This window comes from Homo sapiens, chromosome 18 (genome assembly GCF_000001405.40).
Source record: "Homo sapiens chromosome 18, GRCh38.p14 Primary Assembly".
NCBI lineage: Eukaryota > Metazoa > Chordata > Mammalia > Primates > Hominidae > Homo > Homo sapiens.
Window position 1 is genome coordinate 22917174 of NC_000018.10, and position 25617 is coordinate 22942790.

Here is a 25617-nt window from a genome sequence, read left to right on the forward strand (position 1 = left end):
CCTTATCTTATCACAGGTAAAATCCTACCTGGAAAATGCTTCTAAATTTGGTCATTTTAGTTCAGTCCAAGTGGACTCTGAAAAAAATCGCTTTCATTTGTTTCTTAACTTTACAAGAGAAAAGGCAGTATACTGAAAAGCATGTGAGCTTTTGAGCCAAATTGACATGGGTCTGAATAACTCTGCTACAAATTACGTTCCCCTTGGAAATTATTTAACTCTCTGAGTTAGCTTTTCTCCATCTAGTTAAGGAAGTTAAGTTAATACCATTCTTTCAGAGTTATTGGAAGAATTAAATGAGATATCATGTAAAACACTTCACATAGTTCCTAGAACATAGCAGGTGCTCAGCAAATGTCAGTATCCTTCTTACCCCTTTTACAGACTATATAATACATTTCAACAAATAGCTTCGGTATTTCCTGAAGTATTTCAGTATTTTCTTTCAGTAAGAGAAGTCAACTTTAACTTAGAATATGCACGTTTTTGTCAGAAAGATAAAAATAAAATCAGCAATCTTGGAAGGCATTAAGATATAATGTTGGGGCCGGGCGCAGTGGCTCACTCCTGTAATCCCAGCACTTTGGGAGGCTGAGGCAGCCAGATCACAAGGTCAGGTGTTCGAGACAAGCCTGGCCAATATGATGAAATCCCGTCTCTACTAAAAATACAAAAATTAGCCAGTGTGGTGGTGCGTGCCTGTAGTCCCAGCTACTCGGGAGACTGAGGCAGAAGAATTGCTTGAACCTGGGAGGCAGAGGTTGCAGTGAGCCAAGATCGCGCCACTGCACTCCAGCCTGGTCAACTGAGCAAGACTCCGTCTCAAAAAAAAAAAAAAAAACATATAATGTTGGAAAATATTTTAACCTTCTTAAATTTAAAAAATCAGAAACCCATATAATCCAATCCAATTAAAGATTCACTTCAAAGAAGTCTTTGTTAAAAGTATTTTGAGAGTGGTACACCAAGATGATTAAAAGCCTTAAATACTTTTTAAAAATTCAATTTCAATCATCTGTACTAATGGAAGAAAGCGTGACATGGATAATTCAAATTATAATGCATTCATGCATCAAGTAACAACAGGGATACATTCTGAGAAATGAGAAATTAGGTGATTTCATTGTTGTGTGAACATTATAAAGTCTACTTACAAAACCTCAATGGCAGAGCCTACTACACACCTAGACTATATGGTATGTCTTATTGCTTCCAGGTTATAAACCTGTACAGTATGCTACTGTACTGAATACTGTAAGCAACTGTAACATAGTGTGTGTGATAAGTATTTGTGTATCTAAACATATACTGACATAGAAAAGGTACCGTAAAAATATGTGGTATTATAATCTTATAGGACCACTGTAGCATTTGTGTTCCACTGCTGATCAAAACACTGCTATTCAGTGCATGGCTGTACCTTACTTGTGCCTTCTGAGTTTTCCAACAGCTTTTTTTTGTCTATTATCTAACATGACGTCAAATTAATTGGCCAAGAATTTATTTTCTTTCTTCTTTTTTTAGATAGGGTCTCACTCTGTCACCCAGGTTTAGCCTCCCATGTAGCTGGGACCACAGGCACATGCCGCTACACCTGGATAATTTTTTTAAAAATTTTTTGTAGAGATGTGTTCTCCCTATGTTTCCCAGGCTGATCTTGAACTCCTAGCCTCAAGCAATCTTCCCACCTCAGCCTAAGAATTTCTATATGCTCTAAGGATTGTGCTTTTTCTACTACCAAGTAAATTATTCTTTCAGGACTCTGGAATGTGTTTTCTCCTACAAAAAAATTCCCTTCTGAATTAAATTTATTATAGGCTAATATTAAATTATATTGCATTATTTTGATAGCAAGTAATGATGAGCAGAGTGAGTCCAAAATGTATAGAGCACAAGAAGATAGAAGAGGATTTAACATTTTCTAAAGATAATATTAAATTAGTCTTAGACTGATTAATTGATTAGGGAATGAAGCCGATGAGCAAAGATCACAAAGGAGGAGCTTTTTGTGAAATGTATTGGTCAGAGGGAGTTCAGAATACCACGACAAACATTCTGAGAGCTTGCTTAACTAAAAAGAGGTCAATTGACACATCTTCCAATGAATGAATAAAGAGCAAAAAATTGGTTTAGAGTTAACATTAGAACCAACTAATAATCCATTTATAACACAAACTGATCTTATTGAGCTCTTGTAATCAACTTTAATTTCCTGAAAGATGTTTAATCGCTTTACAAAAAGCTTTCTGCTGATGCTATAATTTCAATTTAAGTCCACGATAAAAGAATCTTTTCACTTAAATTGTAGACACTGTATGTAGATGGTGTGCAGAAAGACAAAAGCATCATTTCACCAATTTAGCCCACTAATTAATCACATATTCTTTTTTTCTTTTTTTGAGAGAGAGAGTCTCGCTCTGTCACTCAGGCTGAAGTGGCATGATCTTGGCTTACTGCAACCTCTGCCTACCAGGTTCAAGCGATTCTCCTGCCTCAGACTCTGGAGTAGCTGGGATTACAGGGACATGCCACCACACCTGGTGAATTTTTGCATTTTTAGTACAGATGGGATTTCATTATGTTGGCCAGGCTGATCTCGAACTCCTGACCTTAGATGATCCACCCTCCGTGGCCTCCCAAAGTGCTGGGATTACAGGTGTGAGCCACCATGTCTAGCCTAATTAATTATATATTCTTATTAAAACTATTTTATTAGCTACGTAAGCAATTTAGCCTATGTGACTAGTCATTAAAATTAGTATTTAATTTGCATTTACTTTTAAATGTTTACAGTAGATATTACTACAAACAATTGCAAAGAAGGCAGGAAAAAAACAAAAATTTTAAATATGTTTTTAAAATGTTCTGGTGGGGAATGGTGGATCACACCTATAATCCCAGCACTTTGAGAGGCCACGGTAAGCGGATTGCTTGAGCCCAGGAGTTCAAGACCAGCCTGGGAAACAAAGTGAGACCTCTGTCTCTACAAAAAATAAAAAATAAAAAATTACTTGGGCACAGTGGTTAGAAGGATCACTTGATCCCAAGAGATCAAGGCTGCAGTGAGCTGTCTTCACACTACTATACTCCAGCCTGGGCAACTGAGTGAAATGCTGTCTCAATAGATAAATAAATGGTTTTATACAAATAGCTAATTTGCATAACTCAAGACTAACAACTAAACTGCCTATAAATCCAAAACTGGGAAATAGAGTACATAACAGTTCATTGTGTTAAAGACATACAGCCTTAAGAACAACCAGAAACTATTATCTTAGAAATTATGTATCACTGACAAAGTGAAAATGTAACTTGAATAACAAATTTTTAGTTTCAAAGTTATACCTTAAATCTATTCCCTTGAAAGTTCTTTGCCTATCATATCTACAATGATTCAGATTAGGAGTGAGAAACACTTCCTTCCAACATGAAAATATTTTAAATCTAATGAATTTCTCAATGACTCTCGAAACATTAAGAAATATAAGATTGATTATAACTTTATGTAGCTAATAATACCCAGGAGTATTACTACTATAATAACCTAGCAATGTTTCTCAAAGTGTAGTCCATGACCATCTGACTCACCTGGAGGAATGCCTATTAAAAATGCAGATCGATAACTCCATTCCAAACGTATCACATTAGAATCTCTGGTTGGTAGATCCTAGGAGAGCAGCAAGAAAAGATTCTTCTGCCTATAACAGAGAATGAGCAAGTGAGTGAATCTTTTCAAATCTAACCCATTAACATTATCAGAAAAATAACCTCAAATGCACATGTTCAACCAATCTTGGGTCATTAACATTCTTACAAATGACTAATACAATTAATCTGCCTGTCCCATCCATGCATGCAAATTTTTAAAAGTTGAAACTTCCATTAATAATTCAAAAATAGTGAAACAGAAATCTCAAGTTTCCCCTTTTACTCTAGGTTCTCCATGAGAGTAAGAGCCTGAGACCTCTGGCTTATGTGCGAGTTCTTTATTTGGGAAAGCACCCAGAAACAGGAGTAAGGGATTAGTGAAAGGAAGGAAGGAAGGCCAATACAAAAGTTCATCCTTGAGTTCATCCACCACTATGAGCAAACAGAGCTCAAGCCCAGTATCTTCTTAGGAGCCATCAAACTACCCCAGAATAGCCTGTCAGAAGACACAAGAGAAGAGCACTTATCCACAACTTCTGACTTCCATCAGTTAAGAGTTGCCGCATGGGTTGCTAATTTCTTACACTTTCAAGTTGCATACTTGTTTCTATTGGCTTCAGAGAAGCTCCTAGGACAGAAAGTCAGGTGAGGGACTGTAAAGTTTCACCTGCATGAATCTGGTTGCCACTGAAATACCTGGAGCAAGCAGGGCCCAAGACGTGTCCGATACATCATGTTATAGGACAAATGTGGTCAAACTGCTTTTCCTTTAGTTTTATAATTCTAATACAAAATACAATTAAAACAGATGTTCTGAGAAATGAGTACAGCAATTTCAAATGGAGAGGAAGGAACTTTAGCCTATTTTTGTCTGATGTATTTGATCCATTCCCACAAAACCTGAGATGCACTGAAACTTGATCTTCTGTGAGAAAGGTATTTTCTAATAAACTTCAATTTATTTCCTGAATTTGCTTGCCAATTTTTAAAGGGCCAAACAGCAGCAAAATGGACAATTAGTATGTACGCTGTAAATACTTTTATGTCCAGCATTGATCCAAAGACTTTATTGTTTAAGTTTTCACACTAGTAAAGTTATAGTAAAAACAGATTGACTACATTGGACCCTCGAGTAACACTTTTCATTACAGTGAAACACACAATTTTGAATAGTACAAGTTTGTCTTGGACTGTGTCCAAGAGGGTCTAGTTACAAGAAGTAATTCATTATAACCTATAATGTGATCCTGAGGCTTGGCTCTGAAAAACACATTATATGAAGGCTCTAGTCAAGCAGATTAAAAATTTTAAAACCGAACAGATAAACAGTACTTTAATTAAGTAAATACCATACTTGTTTGTATAATATGTAAACTTAGTTCAGAGAAAGCGAAGGAGAAATAGGTGCAAAGAAAAAAGAAATCTGACCAAAAGCACATCATCTTTTTGTTTAACTTGAATTTCTGTTAGAATAACTAAATGTGAGTTTAAAAAAAAATAACACTATCTCCTTAGAAGTTAGGTAAAGTAGCTAATGAACTGAATAAAGATGAAATAGGAAAACTGAAGAGTGCACAGCAAATACAAAAAAGTGGAGACACACACTGCTGAAAAAAGCCCAATAATAACAGATATTATTTTATTATTATTAATTTTTTTGAGACAGGGTCTCACTCTGTCACCCAGGCTGGAGTGAGGTGGCAAGATCTCAGCTCACTGCAACCTCCACCTCCCAGGCTGAAACAATCCTCCCACCTCAGCCTATGGAGTAGCTCGGACTATAGGCACGCATAACCATGCCCAGCTAATTTTTATGTATTTTCTGTAGCAACGGGGTTTCCTCATGTTGTCCAGTCTGGTCTCAAACTCCTGGGCTCAAGCAATCCGCCTGCCTTGACCTCCCACAGTGCTAGGATTACAGGCATGAGCCGCCGCACTTGGCCAATAAATAATTTCTTATAACCACTAATTCTGAAATAAATAAAGAGATTAGTTTCTCCTTTCTATATAATTTTGCCATTGGGTTAGATGATTTTTTAAATCCCTTGGAATATAATAAAACTAATAACAACAACCATATAATAATACTATCTAACTTACCTGAACTCAATTATGTAAATCAAGATAATACATGTAAAAGCATTTAACAATATAGTGTAATTCTTTCTATAATTATAAATCTTTCACAATTTGCCTAGCAATTCAATAGTTTCACTATAACTATACAACTTTAGCCATTGAAGAGATCTGATTAGCTGTAGCTCTTAAATCTATCTACCGTTAACAACAGTTTCTTACATTGTTACAGTTTCTTACATATATATATATATCTTCTCTCTCTCATTTAATCCTATCAACAATCCTGCAAAACACTTAAAGTACATATTATTACCTTCATTTCATTGATCAACAACCAAAGTACAGAGAAATTAAATTATTTGCTCAACAAGATTAGAATTAAAAATTAGAATTCATTCAGCAAATTAGATGGTGCAGCTGATGCCTTCCCAGTATCAACTTATACAAATACATTACTATACACTTGCAGTTATAGAACTCAACAATGATTCCCCACAGTATAGCCTTTGCACATGCCTTCTGCCTGGAAAGCCTTCTGCCATTCTTCTCCCAATAGGCAAGCTGCTTCAAATGTCTCTTAATTCTTCTTTAAGAAATTTCAAATATATTATTTCATTCTTACAACAACCCCTTTGAGCACAGTGAGTATTAATATCCTCTTTCAGTGAGGGAAATAAGACTTGTCTAGGAAACATGCAGATAATCAGAGATAGGGTCAGAATTTAATCTCTCATCCTATCTCCCAGCTCACGACTCTTTCCATAGTACAAGAAGGCTGGGAATATGGTTATATGCCAGCACTGACTGTAGAACATGATCACAATTTTTTGGAGCACTTCCTACTCTGTCCCTTCTGAGATTACAACATAATTTAAGACCCTTCAATCTACTTGATTTTAAATTTTGTACATGAAACAACTCACAACCAGGGCTGGGAAAGCTAGTATAACCATTGTTCTAATTCTATTAGAAGTAAATTTATATTCATTTCTCAAATGTACATATCTATTACAAGGCAAGTAAAAAAGCATATGTGCCAAAAATGCTAAGAAATAAATTAGCCTAAAAAATGAAGTGAGATGATTATAATAGGTGTTTCACTCCAATCCTGACTGAGAAAGTCCAGTTTATTTTCAGCTCTGAGGCTAATTAAATTACAATCAAATTTTAAAGTACTTTTAGTTACCTCCTACAGTGTAAAGCATTTTTTAGTTAGTTTGTTTTTGGTTTTTTTTTTTTTTTTTTTTGAGACGGAGTCTCACTCTGTCATCAGGCTGGAGTGCAGTGGTGCAATCTCAGGTCACTGCAACCTCTGCCTCCCTGGTTCAAGCAATTCTCCTGCCTCAGCCTCCTGAGTAGCTGGGACTACAGGTGCACACCACCACACCTGGCTAATTTTTGTGTTTTTAGTAGAGATGGGGTTTCACCACGTTGACGAGGATGGTCTTGATCTCTTGACCTCATGATCTGCCTGCCTCGGCCTCCCAAAGTGCTGGGATTACAGGCATGGGCCACTGCCCCCAGCCAAAGCTTTTTGAAGTAAAAAGAAAAATGTACTTGCTCTGTCACCCAGGTTGGAGTACAGTGCATGGCTCACTGCAGCCTCGTCTTCCTAGGCTCAAGAGATCTTCCCGCTTCAGCCTCCTGAGTAGCTGGGACCACAGGCATACACACCGTACCTGGCTAATTTGTTTTTATTTTTTATAGAAACAAAGCCTCACTATGTTGCCCAGGCTGGTCTCAAACTTCTGGGCTCAAGTGATCCTCCTGCCTTAGCCTCCCAAAATGCTGGGAGTACAGGCATGAGCCACTGCATCAGGCTCTGACCATATGGTTTACAGTCATCCAAACCAGGATGTTTTTTAAAGTAAAAGTGAGCTGTATTAATAATTAAGCTAGAGCAATAGGAATCAACCAGGACTGTCACTGGTAAGCTAGGGCATATGATCACCTCACATAAGAGGTCTACCATAACTGAGAAAAGGAAGGAAGCTTTTTTTTTTTTCTTTTTTTTGAGCCAGGGTCTCGCTTTGTCACCCAGAGTGTGAGCAAGGCTCACTGCAGCTTCGACCTCCTGGGCTCAAGCAATCCTCCCATCTTAGCCTCCCAAGTAGCTGAGGCTACACACAACACTGAACCCAGCTAGATTTATTTTTATTTTCTTGTAGAGACAGGGTCTTGTTATGTTGCCCAGGTTGGTCTCAAGCAATCCTCCCACCTAGACTTCCCAAAGTGCTGAGATTGTGGGCATGAGCTGCTGCACTTGGCCGGAAGCCTATCTATTTCAATTTTAGTATCCTAAATAGTCCACAAAAACAAACTGTCACCAAGAGTATGAACTGAATTAAAACACAATTTCACTGTACATTTTTAATCTTTCTGATTATAACTTACATAAAACTGAAAACATTTCTAGCTAAAACTCAGGATCTCCTTTAAGTACTGAACGTTGAACATAAAACATTTTTAAATTTTTTATTTTACCTTTGGAAAAGTAACTATCAAAGCTTCCTTAAACTTAGATTAACATGGATTAGAAAAAACAAAAAGCCAATATTTTAAACAAAGTCTTTTTTCTCAAGCATAATTAGAATAAAGACCAAAAAAAGACAGTGCGTTTAAAGATATATCTGTAATCTGTGAAGCACATAATTACATTAAAGATCACAACTATTTGCTGGCAGTGAATAAATCCATCAATTCACAGGTGAAAAAAATTAGTGTTTAAGATGCGATGATTTTTTCACATGGACAAAGCAATGAATATTAAACATGTTTGCTTGTGTGAACCTATCAAAGAATTCTTTAATTAATAGAATCCAAATGTCACTGACTTGTTCCGACGGTTAGCCCTTCATAATATTTTCCATTGCTGTAAATAAATATTACTCCCACAGCTTGTATCATGGTAGCATTATACATAGGTACAATGCAGTATAATACTTTAATAGACAAAATGGTAAAGATTTGTTTTTCGAGATTCTGAAAATAAAATAAACTTTTTTACTCTACAGTCTTAGTGATCACTCTTAAATTATCTTATTTTTTCAGCAGTTAAGTTCTGAGATCCTTTTAAGTGCCAGGGTTAGAAAAAAGGCTTATGGGCTAACCAACTAACAAAATTCCTGGGCTTCATAAGCTTATATGAATAGATACGAAATATTGTCCAAACAGCCACTGCATTATAAATAGATGACATGGAAGAAACAGGTGTCCCTTTCCATTCATAAGAAATCATTTTGCTGGCTGCGGTGGCTCACACCTGTAACCCCAGCACTTTGGGAGGCCAAGGCAGGTGGATCCCTTGAGGTCAGGAGTTCCAGACCAGCCTAGCCAAAATGGTGAAACCCTGTCTCTACTAAAAATACAAAAATTAGCCAGGCGTGGTGCCACATGTCTGTAATCCTAACTACTCAAGATGCTGAGGCAGGAGAATCACTTGAACCTGGGAGGCGGAGGTTGCAGTGAGCCAAGATCGTGCCACTGCACTCCAGCATGGGGGATAAGAGCAAGACTCTGTATCAAAATAAATAAATAAATAAAAAAGAAACCATTTTGCAAATAACAGATCAACAACGTTCTTCATCACCCCATTATAATTTAAACCTGGGCAACTATGAATATACTGTTTAACCTTCTTTATCAAGTATAAAGAGATAGTTCCTAAATCGGGCAAATTATGTGCCAGTAAAACTTTGGCCATTACTGATGGGAAATGAAGCAGCTTGGTGAATGATGTTTAAAAACAAACAGAAAACTATTTCAACAGATTAAAAAGGGAAACGAAGAAGGTATGAAGTCCAATGTAGCTAGAGTGAAGATCAAAATAAAGCTTCCTTATCTAAACTGGAAATTGGCCAGGCTACACGAGACTAATCTTTCTAATTAAAAAGCAAGGTATACTCTTTAATGTCCATTATGAGCATTTAAATGAACACCTAGAATATTGTCAAAATAAAAACTGTGATGCTGACATCTTCCACCAATGTTAAATATATATTTTTATACAATTATAAAACTTCTCAATCTGGAATCTTGGCACCATCAACTCAAATCATAAACAAAACATTTTGGCACTTGAGGCAAGATCACTGATTGATGTATACTCCCACTCACAAACAACACTTACTAATTACTGTAAACAACTTTTAAAAAATTGAATCAAGTGTTCATTCAAGTTAACACAAATGTTGCCAGTTAAGATACTTTTCTTTTGTCTTAAAGTTTCTTTCCCTCACCTCTCAAACAGCCTTTGTTGTGTTCTTAAAATAGTTATGACTGCAGGTATAACAATTCACCCCAGTTTACCAGTATTGTGTGTTCATGTCAGAGATACTAGAGAGTTTTAGATAAATAATCATAAAGGATTTAATCACTTACTTTTTAATTTTATGCCTGGAGACACAGGCACTTAATGCTGGGTGGGGGATGGGATGATGCAGGGAGCAGGACAGAGATGGGAAATGCCCAGCACAAATAGCAGAAATAAACGAAGAATTGGATACCCACGTCCCAGTTCCATCCTGCTTCTTTAAGTAAATCACACAACCTCATTTGTTCACTCATTGATTATATTATATATGCTGGGCCTGCGCTGTACGATACAGTAGCCACTAGTCACATGCAGACTTGAGAACTTATAATGTGGCTAGTCTAAACTGAGATGTGCTGTAAAGGTAAAATATATAACAGATTTCAGAGACTTAGTATGAAGAAAAAGAATGTAAAAAGTCTCATTAATTTTTATATTGATTACATGTTTAAATAATATTTTAGATAAACTGGGTTAAATAAAATATATTAAGTTAATTTCACCTGATTTTTACTTAAAATGTAATTTTTAGAAAATTTAATATTATATATGTGGCTCTGTGGGATAGTTCTGTGCTAAGACTCTAGTAAAAAGTAGGAAAGAACCCAGGAGGCAGAGGTTGCAGTGAGTCGAGATTGTGCCACTGCACTCCAGCCTGGGCAACAGAGTGAGACTCTGTCTCAAAAAATTAAAAAAAAAAAAGCAGGAAAACAGGGCTGGGCGTGGTGGCTCATGCCTGTAATCCCAGCACTTTGGGAGGCCGAGGAGGGTGGATCACCTGAGGTCAGGAGTTTGAGACTAGCCTGGCCAACATGGCAAAACTCCGTCTCTACTAAAGACACAATAATTAGCTAGGCAGGTGCCTGTAATCCCAGCTACTCGGGAGACTGAGGCATGAGGATTGCTTGAATCTGGAGGGTGAAGGCTATCATAAGCTGAGATCGCGCCACTGCACTCCAGCCTGGGGGACAGAGTAAGACTTTGTCTCCAAAAAAAAAAAAAAGTAGGAAAACAGAAGAATAAAGAAAGCACAGTCTGACATCAAGGAGCCCAGCTGAAGATTAAAAACACAAAAATAATTACAATATAATGGTGTTAAGTGCAATGATAAAGATATATATTGAGGGCATGGGAGAATGAGGAAGGCCATTTGTGAAAGGGTATAGAAAGGAAGGATGAAGAGAGATGTTAGGTTAGTCGCCTGAAAGAGGTAGTGCCTGAGCTGAGACTTAAAAGAATAAGAAAGATGAAGTGTAACAAATGGGGGTGAAAGTAATTCCAAGAGAAAAACATTGTATGAGCCAAGAGTAAGACACAGCCAAGGGAAGGAGAGAGGAATAAAAGCAGTTTCCTGTTGAAAGAGGGAAAGAGCAAGGGGTACAGCAGAGACTGTGCAAGGATAAGAGCTTGTGTGACATTTTAAAGAAACTGATTTTTAACCTTTAGGCAATAGCCTTTTTTTCTTTTTTTTTTTTGAGACACAGTCTCGCTTTGTCGCCCATGCTGGAGTGCAGGGGTGTGATCTTGGCTCACCACAACCTCCGCCTCCTGGGTTCAAGTGATTCACCTCCCTCAGCCTCCCGAGTAGCTGGGATTACAGGTGCCTGCCACCATGCCCATCTAATTTTTGTATTTTTAGTAGAAACAGGGTTTCACCATGTTGGCCAAGCTGGTCTCAAACTCCTGACCTCAAGTGATCCAACCACCTCGGCCTCCCAAAGTGCAGGGATTATAGGCGTAAGCTACCGCACCAGTCTGGCAACAGTCTTTTGAAGAGTTTTAAGCAAAGGAATGCCAGGATCAGAAATAATGGTTTAGATGTTGGGCAGCTGTGAGACTGAATTAAGGTGAACAAGACTGGAAGCAGGGAGGCTGTTGCCTAGGTAAGAAACATCAGGGCCTCAACTAGGGCAATAAGTGAGGTTGGAAAGGAAAGCACTAATTCAAAATTATATTTAAGAGGTATCATCAGCAGAATATAGTGCCTGACTCGTCCTGACACCATGGAAAGGAGTTTGGATTTTATTCTAGGGTGATGGGAAGACCCTGAAATGCTTTAAGCAGGGAGTGTGATTTTCTGATAGATTTTAAAGAACCTCTCAGACTGCTGTTGGAGAATATACTGTAATGGAGAACAGAGTGGATAACAGATTTTTTTTTTTTTTTAAAGGAGGATATTGCCGTAGAAGAGGTTGATGGTAGCTTGAACCAGGGTGGACACAAAGGTGAGAAGCAACTGGATTGTTTGGGCAGGTGTGTGTGTGTGTGTGTGTGTGTGTGTGTGTGTGTGTGTGTGTGAAGAGACAGGCGGGTGTGTGTGTGTGTGTGTGTGTGTGTGTATGTGTGTGTGTTTAAGAGACAGGTTCTGGCTGTCATTCAGCCTATACTGCAGTTTCTCAAATCTCAAGTGAGCCTCCCGCGGGCCTCCCACAGCGTTGAGGTTACAGATATGAGCCACCCTATCTGGCCTCAGGTTGTATTTTTAACTGCAAATGGTTTTGCCTAATTCGTAGGGTTGAGAAAGAAAAAAGCAAGTTTAGGAAGATCACACTTGTGGAGCTCAATTGTCTTGTTTAATCAGGAGGCCAGGTTGTCCACCTAGAGTGAAAATAGCTTCAGAGGCTTGAGGACTGAAAATAGTAAAGGTCTGGAAGACAGCAGAGAAAATAAAAAGAGCTGAACAAAGGCTATTTTAAGGATTAACTGATGCCCTGCATGAAGTTTGAAACCATATGACTTTAGTGATATCAGTCTAACGTGATACGTCATTTTCCCTTCACAACACTCAACTACCCAGCTGCAGGAGTTAAGCATAGATTCTAGAATCTACAGGATTTCATTTGTAAATGGCTTGAGTTAGATGACTTTTAAATCTACGTGAGTTCCAAAACTTTACTTTTAAGAATCCTAGAGTCTGTACTGCTATCACACAATTTATTTTAAATTGGTGCCTAGATATACATAATGTAAACTTACCATTTTAACTATTTCACTAGTTTATTTAAATTCAGCATTCTAGCCAGGGGCCTCCAATAGGTGTGCTGGGACATTAAAAACCTAGCCCTGAAGGTGGCAGCACTGGGCCTGAGGTGACTAGTCTCAACTTCTGTTGCCACTGGATGGAAGCAGCCTCATCTTTTCATTACAATATATAACACAAGTGTTCATTTTCTAAGCATGCTGAAATTGAAAAAGTTTGGGAAGTACTGTCCTAAGCCACAACATATGAGAAACCCAGTATTATGAAGAGTTCAAAATAACTGCTTCTCTGTTAAAGATGTTTTTTCAGCAGATCTTTGGAACCTCAAAATTTATTCCATGTGGTTCTTAAAGCTTTAGAACCTATCTATGAGGATGCCCGCCATTTCCATTGTTAAAGTGGCCATATAAAATCTCATTTAAAAATCTAAGAATTTTGAATGTACCCAAAGGTTTCCATTTACATAGAAATGGGATCCACCAGGGAATGCCCATTTCATTCATTCATAGAATATTGATTTGGTGGCAGACACTGGGCTAGTTCCTGGAGATAAAAGGGTGAACAAACCTTTTTTATTTTTTATTTTTTTAATTTTAAGACAGGGTCTCTCGCTCTGTCACCTAGGCTGGAGTACAGTGGCACAATCATAGTTCACTGCAGCCTTGAACTCCTGGGCTCAAGCAATCCTCCCACCTCAGCCTCCACAGTAACTAGAACTAGAGGCACGAACCACTGTGTCCAGCTATTTTGGTTTGATTTTTAGAATAGGAGACAAGATTTCACTATGTTGCCCAAGCTCATCTTGAACTCCTGGCCTCAAGTGATCCTCTTGCCTCAGCCACCCAAAGTCTGGCCCAAGACGTGGTTTTTTATCTCAAGAAATTTACAGTCCAGTGGGGAGACAGAATTAATTAAATAACTAAAACAATAAAAACTGTAAGATGGGGAGGTTACATGGTACTGTAGGAGGATCTAGTAGAAGAGACTATTGAAATAAGATAAAAACATGATTAGTAGATAGCTGGGGCAAAGAGTGGGGGTAGGTTTGGTGGAGAACTCCAGGCAGAGACAATAGCACGCAATGGCCTAGGAGACATCAAAAGTCTAGTGAGACCAGAGGACAGAAAATGTCTGGAAATAAAGCCAAAGGGGTAGCAGAGGCAATTCAAAGGGGCTTCCTTCACAGAGTAACTGGAAGCCACTGAAAGGGTTTAAGCAGCATAGTGACATTAACAGATTTACTTTTCAAGATCACAGTAGCTGCAGTATAGAGAAGTGGTCTCAAAGTAGACACAATTTAAGGTGGAGGAGGGAAGATGTATTTTTATTCTATTTTTTATCCTTTAAAAATGCTTTTAAAATGGATTATAATCATATTAGCTAAGAAATACTAATTATGGCTAGCTTTTGGGCACATAGTATATATCTGAATACTAAGCAGTTTACATATATTCATTTAATCTTAATACCCTGTGAGGTTGGTACTATTATTATCCTCAATTTACAGGTAGGTAAAATGGGACAGCGAGCTTAAGCAGTCAGTCCAAAGTCACTCAGTAAGGAAGTATTAGAGCAGGATTTAAACCCAGATGTCTGACTTCAGAGCCTGTAACTTCATTAGATCATGTACCATTTTTCAACAGTACATGTATGTAATTTAAAATTAAATATATATATGGAGAATAGAAGTTCAAATTTTTTTCTGAACACCAGTGAAAACAAAGATTTAGGAGGGGTGGTTGGTAGCGTGGATGTGGAAAGGAGCCTAGCAGTAGACTAGGTAAGAAATAACAGTATCTTGGATTATGGAGGTAGTGATGGAGAGAAGGGGATGGATTTACATGTTTAGTAAGTAAAATTGGACTGCGTGATGGCTTGGATATGGAAGTTAGGGATGAATAAAGTGTCAAGGATGACTCTTTGGTTTCTGACTTGCATAAATGGATTAGAGAGTGAGACACAGGCAGAGGCCATAGGAACAGGTTGGGTCATTCTGCTCAGTTTTTCTTTGGACCACAGTAGAGACCACAGCACACTGCTCTTTCAATACTCTGTTAAATGACAAACTTATTACAGGTTATTTCTGTCATAAACATAAAAGCTTCACTCTGTCAATTATGTTTCCTATCTTGCGTTAAAAATTACATAGTCAAAATTTCATCCATTTTCTTTTAAAAATGTGGAGTTAAGTCTTATAAAATGGGGAAGTGAATGATAGTTGCTGTAACAGGCTAATAGAAGGTTTAGCACCCCTCTTCTGTATACTAACTTTTTAAGTTATATTTATTCATCCCTTAAGATGTGGGACAGGTGGAAAAATTACCTTTCCACTTTGTATTTATGATTTCTAAGTACTAAACTTTTAAAGCCTGTTAATATTATCCCTTCCCAGGTCTTAGAATAATTACACAAAAGTACTGGACTGGTTTAAAAGATATTTGATTCTAGTCTATTTTGTTCATTTGTAGAATTTCTAGTGGTCTAAAAACGATTCTTTTACAAATCAGGAGAAATAGGAATACCTACTATCGGTTTGAATCTCAAACGAACAGCCACAAGAAAAATGGACTTTTTAAAAAAAATTATCTAACAGCATGTTGTCCCAATAAATAATGCTGAAGGAGATTCCTTCTCGTTTCAAATTTGCCAGAAACTTCCCGTTTAACCTCAGCAAAATACAGATCGTTTTGATCTATGGCGTTACCGCACAACCCTGTCAGGTCACATCACTAAACTGCAGATAACAGCGACAAGGCCGAAAACTATGTTAGACGGATCCGCGTCCATACCCCCCATCAGTTAATTTTAACTCTTCATTCGGTACAGGTCACTCTACACATGCTTCCCTGCAAAATGCTTAAGCTAGACACAGTGTACAGATAACTTTCACAGAACCGCAAGGGCTTGATGCTCCCCCAACAGAACGGCTTGAGCTTTCCCCAGCGCAATTCAGAAATGCTGTGGCGGTCGCCAGACTCTTCGGGTAGCTCCCGGCAGCTCCGAGGTAGCGCTCCCCTCCCCAACCATCGCCCTCCGGGATGGGCCGCACCGAAGAGCCCGCTCCTCAGCTAGGGCACGAAGTGCGCCGCCGCGATGGGCAGCTGGAGGAAGGGGCGTGACGCAAGTGGAACTCCCGCGTGACGTCGCGCGGGCTCCCGGGCGGGGCGGGTCCGGCCGCCTCCGAGCCCGGCCGGCAGCCCCCGGCCTTAAAGCGCGGGCTGTCCGGAGGGGTCGGCTTTCCCACCGAGGATTTGGCACTCTGGTGAGGGAAAAGGGCGAAAGAGAAAAGCGAGCAGCCGTCCTTTCACAGCCTCAGAAAGTGCTCGCTTCCCTTCGGGGGCTTTCGCGAATCCCGAGGCAATCTCGGAGGCGGTGAGTAAAAGCAATCTCTTTACCCCACCCGGAGCTCTGGGTCGGAGCGACTGCTTCTGGTCTGGAGCTGCGTGCTTGGCGAAGGGCTCCCGGGGTAGGGGTGGCTCCCGGCTCTGGGGTTGTGTCTGATGAAATAGGCCGGGCCCGGGCTACACTCGGTGGTGGTGGACCGGCGGGAGGACGAGCGCTACCTCAGTACTACTTCTGGGTCTCCCGCGCGGGCTGAGGAAGCGCCTTTCGCCGCCAAGCCCGCCCCGCGCATGCGCCGACTGCGGCTCGCGCGCGCGCTTCGGAGGTTTTTTGGCCAGACCCGCACGCGGAACCGGCGCGGGCACCTGGGGAGAAATGGATGGAGAAGGGACCTGGCTGGAAAGCCTTTGCCCCGCTGCTCTGCTCCGCCCATAAGAGGACCCCTGAAATGTCCCGTGCAGTTTGTTCAAGTCCCCTGTGTGATGAAATGTGCCTCTCGCCTTACCCGTGTGAGAATACCTGTGGTGTGGCAGCGAGTATTTTGGTGAGCACCTGCAGTGTAGTGGTTTATACTAAGGAATACACACAAATTACAGGCCTTTGAGCCCAGAATGCAACTTGGGAGGTAAGACGTGACGTTCTGAGAGATTGAAAAATGTACATTGTCGTCGTGCCTCGAATAACGGTTCATTGCAGAGAGAGATGCTAACAAAAAGTGCCGGGCATGCGGGTAGGTGGAAAGGGTTTTGCGAGCCAGAATTTGCAAGTTGAATGTTTTGTTTTTATGTTTTGTTTTTAAGGCACTGTACATCACTTACTTGAAGATAGATACGTAAAGGATGCTTATTTTACACTCTTTAAACGAATATGTTAATACTTTTTCGGTCATTGAAGTAATTAAACCTTCATTTTAAACTGTTGACTTAATAGAAATCGTTTATGTCTTCTTTTTTTTTCTTTTTGCTGCAGAGAGGTATTTTTTCTTTATTTTATTATTATTTTTTATACTTTAAGTTCTAGGGTACATATGCACGACGTGCAGGTTTGTTACATATGCATACATGTGCCATGTTGGTGTGCTGCACCCATTAACTCGTCATTTACTTTAGGTATATCTCCTAATCCTATCCCTCCCCCCACCCCACGGCAGGCCCCGGTGTGTGACGTTCCCCTTCCTGTGTCCAGGTGTTCTCATTGTTCAGTTCCCACCTATGATTGAGAACATGCGGGCTACAGAGAGGTATTTTACAGTTATTGGTCTCATGACTTGATTTCCATCCCTGACATAGCCATGTCCCAGCTGTGTGACCTTGGACATTTACTGCCTTACGCCTCTTCCCCCAACTCTAAAATGAAATTATAGTAGCTGTCTTACAGAGTTTTTCTGAAGGTTAGGTAGAATATAAATATTCTATAATATATAATTATATATTAAATAATATATAAATACAAATATTAATATTAATATTCTATAGTTTCTGGTATGTGGGAAACAAATGGTGACTTTTATTCACAATTATATATAGGCCCATTTGTTTATCTGTTAGAGTTAAAGATAGAATAAAAACCTCTTTGGTAACAAAACTAATGCAGTGCACCTAATTCTACTTTTAAAAACTTTTTTACAGAAATAAATGTACACAAGAGAAATACTGGAATTATGAACCCCATTGTATACGCACCCACCCAGCTTCAGAAATTGTTGAAGTTCAGCCCTTGTTTCATCTCTTCACCCAACATCCATTTTTGTTTGTTTTTGCTGGATTTTTTTTTTTTCAAGCAAATCGCAGAGTATATCCCTTTACCTGTAAATATCTCGGTAAATATCCCTTTAACAGATAAGGCCTTTCTAAAAAAAAAACAAACAAAACCGCATCATTATCATACCCAAGAAAATTAATAATTTCCTAATATCTAAAATCCAGCTCATATTTAGTTTCTGGATTATTTTTTAAAAGTCTAATCACAATTTTTGCAAAGCTTGATAGTTTATTTTTGTAGCTCTTGACGGTTCACCAAGTGGCTTCACATATACTCCTGCTCCCTTCAGAATTACTCTTTCAGCCCCTTTGTCAGAGACCTCAGGAAATGGTTAGCAGGAAACAATCAGTTTGCTTTGGCTAAGGAGCCAGATGTGAGGTTTAGTAGACTTGCTGATCACTATTACTTTTTAAGTTGTAGCTAATTAATGGTTTCATTTTAAGAACACATATTAAAATATTTACTAATCCATTCAAACTTCTTAACCTGTTGGTTTCTTCAAGGACTATGTAATAAACTTAATGATTCACCTTTATTCTAAGAGAGGCATGAAGTAACATTACCCTAATTGTCTTATGACTCTAAGATGTTTCTGTATTCATAGATCTTTGCTGTGTTTAAATCTTACTGACTTCTCTTGTTTTTGGAAAGTTATACAGATCCTCATCTGTGTTAATACATCAGTCAACTGTCTCTTTTATAAAATATATATAGATATGTGTATATATGTGGATGCTTGTTAAGTCAAGACTAAGAATATTTTTCAGTTTTGGGCTCAGTATGTTTCACCAATTCAAAAGTTAAAAAAACCAATTTTTTTTTTTAATTGAGACAGGGTCTCTGTCGCTCAGGCTGGAATGCAGTGGCACGATCTCCGCTCACTGCAAATTCCGCCTCCCAGTTTCAGGCAATTCTCCTGCCTCAACCTCCTGAGTAGCTGGGGCCACAGGCACGCACTACCACACCTGGCAAATTTTTGTATTTTTAGTAAAGATGGGGTTTCACCATGGTGGCCAGGCTGATCTCAAACTCCTGGCCTCAAGTGATCTGCCCACCTCAGCCTCCCAAAGAGCTAGGATTACAGGCAAGAGCCATCTCCCCCAGCCAAAACAATACATTAGTCTATAGTGGTAAATTAATACTGACCATGAATGATAAAAACCCCTCAATATCTGAATCCTTTCTGTTTAATATAATTGAGATAATTTCTTCCTCTAAGAGAAATAAGAAAATTTGCCTGAAAATTTACCTCATATAGCCAAATAACTGAAATCAGAACTTTTCTCACCATTATCATCTTTCCTTATTCTTTCCTTCCCCTCCCAAATTCTAAAAATGATTGATTATAGGTAAATAAGGAAATGGTAAATGAGGATATCTGGGCTTGTGTTTCATCCTGATTTCAAAGTACATAAAGATAAATGCAAAGTTCATTTATGTTGCAATCTGTCATTTCAGGTATTTGACCTGTCCAAAGACGACTTGATACCTCTATAATGTAACAGAAAAGGTCAGAAAATATTAAGCAAGTAGAAGTGTGGAGCATATTAAGCAAGATGAACATCTCGGGAAGCAGCTGTGGAAGCCCTAACTCTGCAGATACATCTAGTGACTTTAAGGACCTTTGGACAAAACTAAAAGAATGTCATGATAGAGAAGTACAAGGTAAAATCTTTTCTTAAATACTTACAGCAGTATTTTGTTGAGACTGTAGTGGCTTTGTATACCTTTGTATGACAGTCCTGTTTATTATTTCTATTTCAGCTTTTAGGTTCCGGGGGTACATGTGCAGATTTGGTACATGGATAGATTGCATGTTGCTGGGGTTTGGTGTGCAAATGATTTCATCACCCAGGTAGTGAGCATGGTACCCCATAGGTAGTTTTTCAATCCCCACCCTCTTCCCACCCCCCTGACCCTCCACCCTCATGTAGGTCCCAGTACCTGTTGTTCCCCTCTTTGTGTCCATGTGTACTAAATGTGTAGCTCCCACTTATAAATGAGAACATGCAGTATTTCTGTTGTCTGCTCAGGGTAATGGCTTCATCTGCATCCATGTTGCTGCAAAGAAAATAATTTTGTTCTTTTTTATGGCTTCATTGTATTCCATGATGTATATATACTTTTTTTTAATTCAGTCCACTGTTGAATTTTGTACATTTAATGGCCATCTTTAAATTCAAAGATATCTTTTTTTTTTTTTTATTTTTTTTGAGACAGGGTCTCACTGTGTCACCAGGCTGGGGTGTAGTGGTGTGATCACAGCTCACTGCAGCTTCAACCTCCCATTCTCAAGTGAGCCTCCCTCCTGTAGTTGGGACCATAGGCACACGCTGCCATGCCTGGCTAATTTTTTATTTTTTGTAGAGTCAGGGTCTCACTATGTTGCCCAGGCTGGTCTTGAACTCCTGGCCTCAAGTGATCCTTCTGTCTCTGCCTCCCAAAGTGGTGGGATTACAGACGTGAGCCACTGCGCCTGGCCCAAAGATCTCATTATTTATTTATTTATTTATATATTCATGTATTTATTTATTTACTAATTAATTTTCAGAGAGGTTCTCACTCCGTTGCCCAGGCTGGAGTGCAGTGGTATGGTCACAGCTCACTGCAGCTTTAACCTCCCAGGCTCAGGTGTTCCTCCCACCTTAGCCTCCTGGGTACCTGGGACTACAGGTGTGCACCACCACGCCCAGCTAATTTTATGTATTTTTTGTAGAGACAGAGTTTTGCCTTTTTGCCCAGGCTGGTCTTGAACTTCTGGGCTCAAGCAGTCCACTGGCCTCAGCCTCCCAAAGTGCTAGGATTACAGGTGTCCGCTGCTGTGCCCAGCTGATCTTTTTTTCTTTTTCTTTTTGAGACAGGGTCTTGCTTTGTCACCCATGCTGGAGTGCAGTGGTGCAAACATGGCTCACTATAGTGTCAAACTCTCGGGCCCAAGTGATTGTCCCACCTCATCCTCCCAAGTAGTTGGGACTACAGGCGCACGCACCATGCCCAGCTAGTTTGTTTTTGTTTTTGTTTTTTTTAAACTTATCCTTCACCTTAGAACACCTAGCTAGTTTTTGTATTTTTTGTGGAGTCAGGGTTTCGCTATGTTGCCCAGGCTGGTCTCAAACTCCTGAGTTCAGGTGATCTCCCGCCTTGGCCTCCCAAACAGCTAGGATTACAGGCGTGAGCTGCGCCCAGCCAGATCTCATTTTTAGAGGACATTTACAATTGTAGTTTTTGTGATTCATTTTTATGGTCAAATTGGTGCTTTTTAACCACAGAACATAGTTTGTATACAACTTGCTGTTATTTACTTGTGGTAATATGTATGAGATAGTGGAAAACGTATACAATTTGTTGACTGAAGACCTGCATTTGAATTCTGATTTCATTTACCCACTTGCTCTGTGATCTTAGCCTAATTACCTAACCTCTAAATTTAATTTTCTTCTATAAAATTCTTTGCAGGATATAGACATAAAAATACTACATAAAGTCATTTGACAAACCCGTAGCACTGAAATACAAAAGTGAATGGCCACTTACCTTCAGACAGCCTGCAGTCTTAGTAGAGTCGTGTAAACAGATAATTACAGTACAGTGAAATAACAGTTAAAAGGTTTTTATGACGTGCAAGGAGTTTTAGAGGATTAAGCAATTGTGGTTGAGATGAGTAAATATTATTTGTGTTAAAAGATACACCATATGAAGCTAAGCTCAAGGTTTTAATATTAAATTTTAATATACTTTAATTCTGTAACTTTCCCTATGTCCCTATGTATGAGAAATGCTTCATATTACATTTGTTTCTTGATTACCTATTATAAGTTTAATATTGCAGTGCTTTATAGCTGTATCATTACACTGGAGTACTATTAAAACATAATCAACCTGAATCTAAAGTGTAGTATGTGAGTCTGTATTAGAACTTTCTTATGGTAGGCTGGGCACGGTGGCTCACGCCTGTAATCCCAGTGCTTTGGGAGGCCAAGGTGGGCGGATCACCTGAGGTCAGGAGTTCGAGACCAGCCTGACCAACATAGAGAAACCCTGTCTCTACTAAAAATACAAAATTAGCCGGGTGTGGTGGTGCGCACCTGTAATCCCCGCTACTCAGGAAGGCTGAGGCAGGAGAATCGCTTGAACCCAGGAGAATCGTTTGAACCCAGGAGGCGGAGGTTGCAGTGAGCTGAGATCACGCTATTGCACTCCACCCTGGGCAACAAGAGCGAAACTCCGTCTCAAAAAAAAAAAGAACTTTCCCATGGTAAGTTTAGTTTCTTGCAAAACTTCTGGTGACACCCTTATTAATTAATGAGTTTTGAAATATGAACAACCCCAAAAGTATTCTTTCAAGCCCCAGTGTTCATGGAGACACAAAGAAATGTTCAAGAAATGTTTTTTGGGCACTTACTATGTGCCAGACCTTGTGAATAAGAATAAATCCTATATAGTGCTAGCTTTAAGGGAATTTCTAGTCTAGAATTTTAATGCAGTATACTATGTTATTATCTGAAAACATGAAGGAAGAACTGAGGGTGTGTGTGGTTGCATGGGGAAGTGGGTTTGTGCATGGTTTATGTCAGACCAGGCTTGATAATTAAGTCTAATTAGCCAGGCAAGGAAGATGGTGGAAGGGGAGGGAATTTTCTGAGTAGAGAGAATAGCACATGCAAAAGTTTGCAGATAAGAGCTTGATTTTATTCAAGGAACTCTGGATAGTTAGGTTTAGTTCTAAGAGGAAATGGAATGGGAGATTGGAGTTTTGGGGGAGGTGGATAGGATATGATGCTAGAAATGTACATAGATCCAAATTATGTAAAATGGTATGTGCTATGCTGAAGAGATTGTCATCTTGCCTTGACTTTAGGACAGATTTCTCTATTTCTGCAAAAAATGTTGGGATTTTGGGATTTGGGATTTTGATAGGTAATGCATTGAATCTGTAGATTGCTTTATATAGTATTGACATCTTAACAATATTGTTTTGTAGTCCATGAACACGGGATACCTTTCTATTAGTGTCTTCTATATTTCTTTTTTTTTTTTTTTTTTGAGACAGAGTCTTGCTCTGTAGCCCAGGCTGGAGTGCAGTGGCGCGATCTCGGCTCACTGCAAGCTCCACCTCCTGGATTCATGCCATTCTCCTGCCTCAGCCTCCTGACTAGCTGGGACTACAAGCACCCGCCACCACGCCCGGCTAATTTTTTGTATTTTTAGTAGAGACGGGGTTTCACTGTGTTAGCCAGGATGGTGTCGATCTCCCGACCTCGTGATCCGCCCGCCTCAGCCTCCCAAAGTGCTGGGATTACAGGCGTGAGCCACTGCGCCCGGTCTATATTTCTTTTTAAGATTTTTTAATTTTTAATTACTAATTTTTAGAGATGAGGTCTTGCCTCATTGCCCAGGCTTGAGTGCAGTGGCACAATCATGGTTCGCCGTAGCCTCAAATTCCAGGGTGCAGGCAATCCTTCCGCTTCCACCTTCAGAGTAGCTAGGACTACAGGCATGCACCACCGAACCTGGCTAATTTATTTTTTTATAGAGACAGGGATCTCATTTTGTTGCCCAGGCTAGTCTCAACTCCTGGGCTCAAGCAGTCCTCTGACCTCATTGGCCTCCAAAAGTGCTAGGATTACAGGTGTGAGCCACCACACCTGGTCATTCTATAATTTCTTTCAGCAACATTTTCTGATTGTCATTGTACAAGTTTTTTGTCTCCTTGGTGAAATGTATTCTTAAGTATTTTATTCTTTTGATGCTACTGTAAATAGAATTGTTTTTTTAATTTGCTTTTCAGATTGTTCATTGTTAGTGTATAGAAATACAACTGGTTTTAGTGAGTTGATTTTATATTCTGCAACTTTCTTGAAACTCTTGATTTCTATTTTTGTTTTTTATGTTTTGAAACAGAGTCTCACTCTGTCACCCAGGCTGGAGTGCAGTGGCATGATCGCAGCTCACTGCAACCTCTGCCTCCCAGGTTGAAGCAGTTCTCCTGGCTCAGCCCCGCAAGTAGCTGGGACTACAGGCACGCACCACCACTCCTGGCTAATTTTTGTATTTTTAGTAGAGATGAGGTTTCACCATGTTGGCCAGGCTGGTCTTGAATTGCTGACCTCAAGCAAGCCGCCCATCTCGGCCTCCCAAAGTGCTAGGATTACAGGCAGGAGCCACTGTGCCTGGCTATTTATAAGCTATTAATTTAATAGAAATAAAATATTTGACAGATTTCTTCTTCCTATTCTTTGGTGTTACAGGATCTTCATGAAATCCCTATTTTACAGTGAGGAAGCATCAAGAAACAAATGGTATACTCTTTAATAGGAACAATATGCCATATTTATCAAATTATAGAATATATAAAGCTTGCAAATATTATGTAGTAGATAATTCCTTTAAAGTGTACTCCTCATGGTTATGTTCTAATCACATTCCCACAAAAGTTTCTATACTCTGAATAACTTTAAGGGAGGAATACAGTAATTGTTGGTGTATATGATAAGGTCCATGTGTTTTATGAATATTAGGTATTGGATATATGAGCTCATAAGAGAAGATAATCTTTGGTACGTTATATTGATCATGCCACTTTCCCAATTTCAAATAACTTATGGATTCTTAAAGGTATTAAATGAATAAGTACTATTTTTTAAGTAGATATGTCATTTTAAAACATTTTGGTTTGGGCCATGCCTTCGTCAATATGTTCCACATAGTTCCATATAAAATTAGAGTCTCTATATGATAACATCAAAGACATGCCTGAAGGGAACTTAATTTTTTTAAGGAGGTGGGGAATCCATTTGTAGAAACCAGTGTAAGAAGCTGTTTGAAAGACATCAAACATGGACTTGTCTGGACTTTGCAGGTTTTAAGGTATATATAGGAATCAAAATTGACTCATGACTTTTAAAGCTTCATGTCAGTAAAAAATAAAAGAGAAATGTTGGGAATGGTAATATTTGAGATATATAGTTTTTACTTAGCTACAGAAATGTACCCATAGGAACTTGCTTGAATCTGAATGCTCTGCTACACGTGTTTAGAATTATTTTTGCCTCTTTTGCCAAAACATAATAAAATGATAGCAAAATATGACAGTATGTGCACTGATCACAACAATATAATAAACTGCATCCATGTCTTTTAAAACTAGGCAAGAATAGACAAAATGCTCTAATTTCTGTTGGAGACTAGCAATATGCAAACCAGACCATTTTTGTTGAAAAATTCTGGAGACATTTATGACCGAGTTTTTATATCCTTTAAGATAATTTTATCCTTTCATGATTGTATCATTTCATGATATGTTCCTTTTGTGACAAATGCTGCTAGTATCAGTGTCACAGATTGTTACTGATGATATACAGTGTTTATGCTTTAAATTCCGAACTCACAGAATTTAATGGAAACTTCAGAATTCTTTAAATTTCAAAAGTTTTAAAGCATATTTATTTGGGTACAAAATTTTATTGCCTTTAAAAATCTTTTTCAGTATCAAGTT

At 38.9% G+C, this 25617-nt stretch overlaps 1 protein-coding gene, 1 long non-coding RNA gene and 1 other non-coding gene across 15 annotated transcripts in view, besides 5 other annotated features; 2 read left to right on the forward strand and 1 right to left on the reverse strand.

The window, feature by feature from the left end:
* The window catches only part of RBBP8-AS1 (RBBP8 antisense RNA 1), a 210274-nt gene extending 193683 nt beyond the window's left edge, over nucleotides 1-16591 (reverse strand). The window contains exons 1-2 of the long non-coding RNA NR_198963.1: nucleotides 16415-16591; nucleotides 3589-3698 (exon numbers count right to left, since the gene is read on the reverse strand). This is a non-coding gene — a long non-coding RNA (RBBP8 antisense RNA 1). The remainder of the gene's footprint in view (nucleotides 1-3588; nucleotides 3699-16414) is intronic.
* Nucleotides 1-25617, forward strand: part of RBBP8 (RB binding protein 8, endonuclease) — a 112348-nt gene that overhangs the window by 3035 nt on the left and 83696 nt on the right. For 3 of the 13 annotated variants that reach the window (XM_047437728.1, XM_006722519.3, XM_006722520.3), the window contains 2 exons: nucleotides 12210-12264; nucleotides 19581-19787. In XM_047437728.1, coding sequence (XP_047293684.1) covers nucleotides 19679-19787 — 109 coding nt within the window. In that variant the 5' untranslated portion in view covers nucleotides 12210-12264; nucleotides 19581-19678. Of the gene's footprint in view, nucleotides 1-12209; nucleotides 12265-16154; nucleotides 17092-19580; nucleotides 19788-25617 lie in introns of those variants that run through there. The other 10 variants (XM_006722521.3, XM_047437729.1, NM_002894.3 and 7 more) reach the window with 6 other exon arrangements.
* Nucleotides 12501-12550: an enhancer, noted in NCBI's record as "active region_13140". NCBI's record gives its function as "activates an Ori minimal core promoter by ATAC-STARR-seq in GM12878 lymphoblastoid cells {active_cell/tissue: GM12878}" and the evidence as "EXISTENCE:reporter gene assay evidence [ECO:0000049][PMID:35858748]".
* Nucleotides 15885-16725: an enhancer, noted in NCBI's record as "H3K27ac hESC enhancer chr18:20513021-20513861 (GRCh37/hg19 assembly coordinates)". NCBI's record gives its function as "activates a minimal SCP1, AML or CMV promoter by ChIP-STARR-seq in naive and primed H9 embryonic stem cells {active_cell/tissue: H9 hESC(naive and primed)}" and the evidence as "EXISTENCE:reporter gene assay evidence [ECO:0000049][PMID:30033119]".
* On the forward strand, nucleotides 16176-16265 carry MIR4741 (microRNA 4741). Its single transcript, NR_039895.1, has one exon. It is a non-coding gene; the product is annotated as a microRNA 4741 (primary transcript).
* Nucleotides 16199-16278: a silencer, noted in NCBI's record as "silent region_9346". NCBI's record gives its function as "represses an Ori minimal core promoter by ATAC-STARR-seq in GM12878 lymphoblastoid cells {active_cell/tissue: GM12878}" and the evidence as "EXISTENCE:reporter gene assay evidence [ECO:0000049][PMID:35858748]".
* Nucleotides 16409-16538: an enhancer, noted in NCBI's record as "active region_13141". NCBI's record gives its function as "activates an Ori minimal core promoter by ATAC-STARR-seq in GM12878 lymphoblastoid cells {active_cell/tissue: GM12878}" and the evidence as "EXISTENCE:reporter gene assay evidence [ECO:0000049][PMID:35858748]".
* Nucleotides 16899-16948: an enhancer, noted in NCBI's record as "active region_13142". NCBI's record gives its function as "activates an Ori minimal core promoter by ATAC-STARR-seq in GM12878 lymphoblastoid cells {active_cell/tissue: GM12878}" and the evidence as "EXISTENCE:reporter gene assay evidence [ECO:0000049][PMID:35858748]".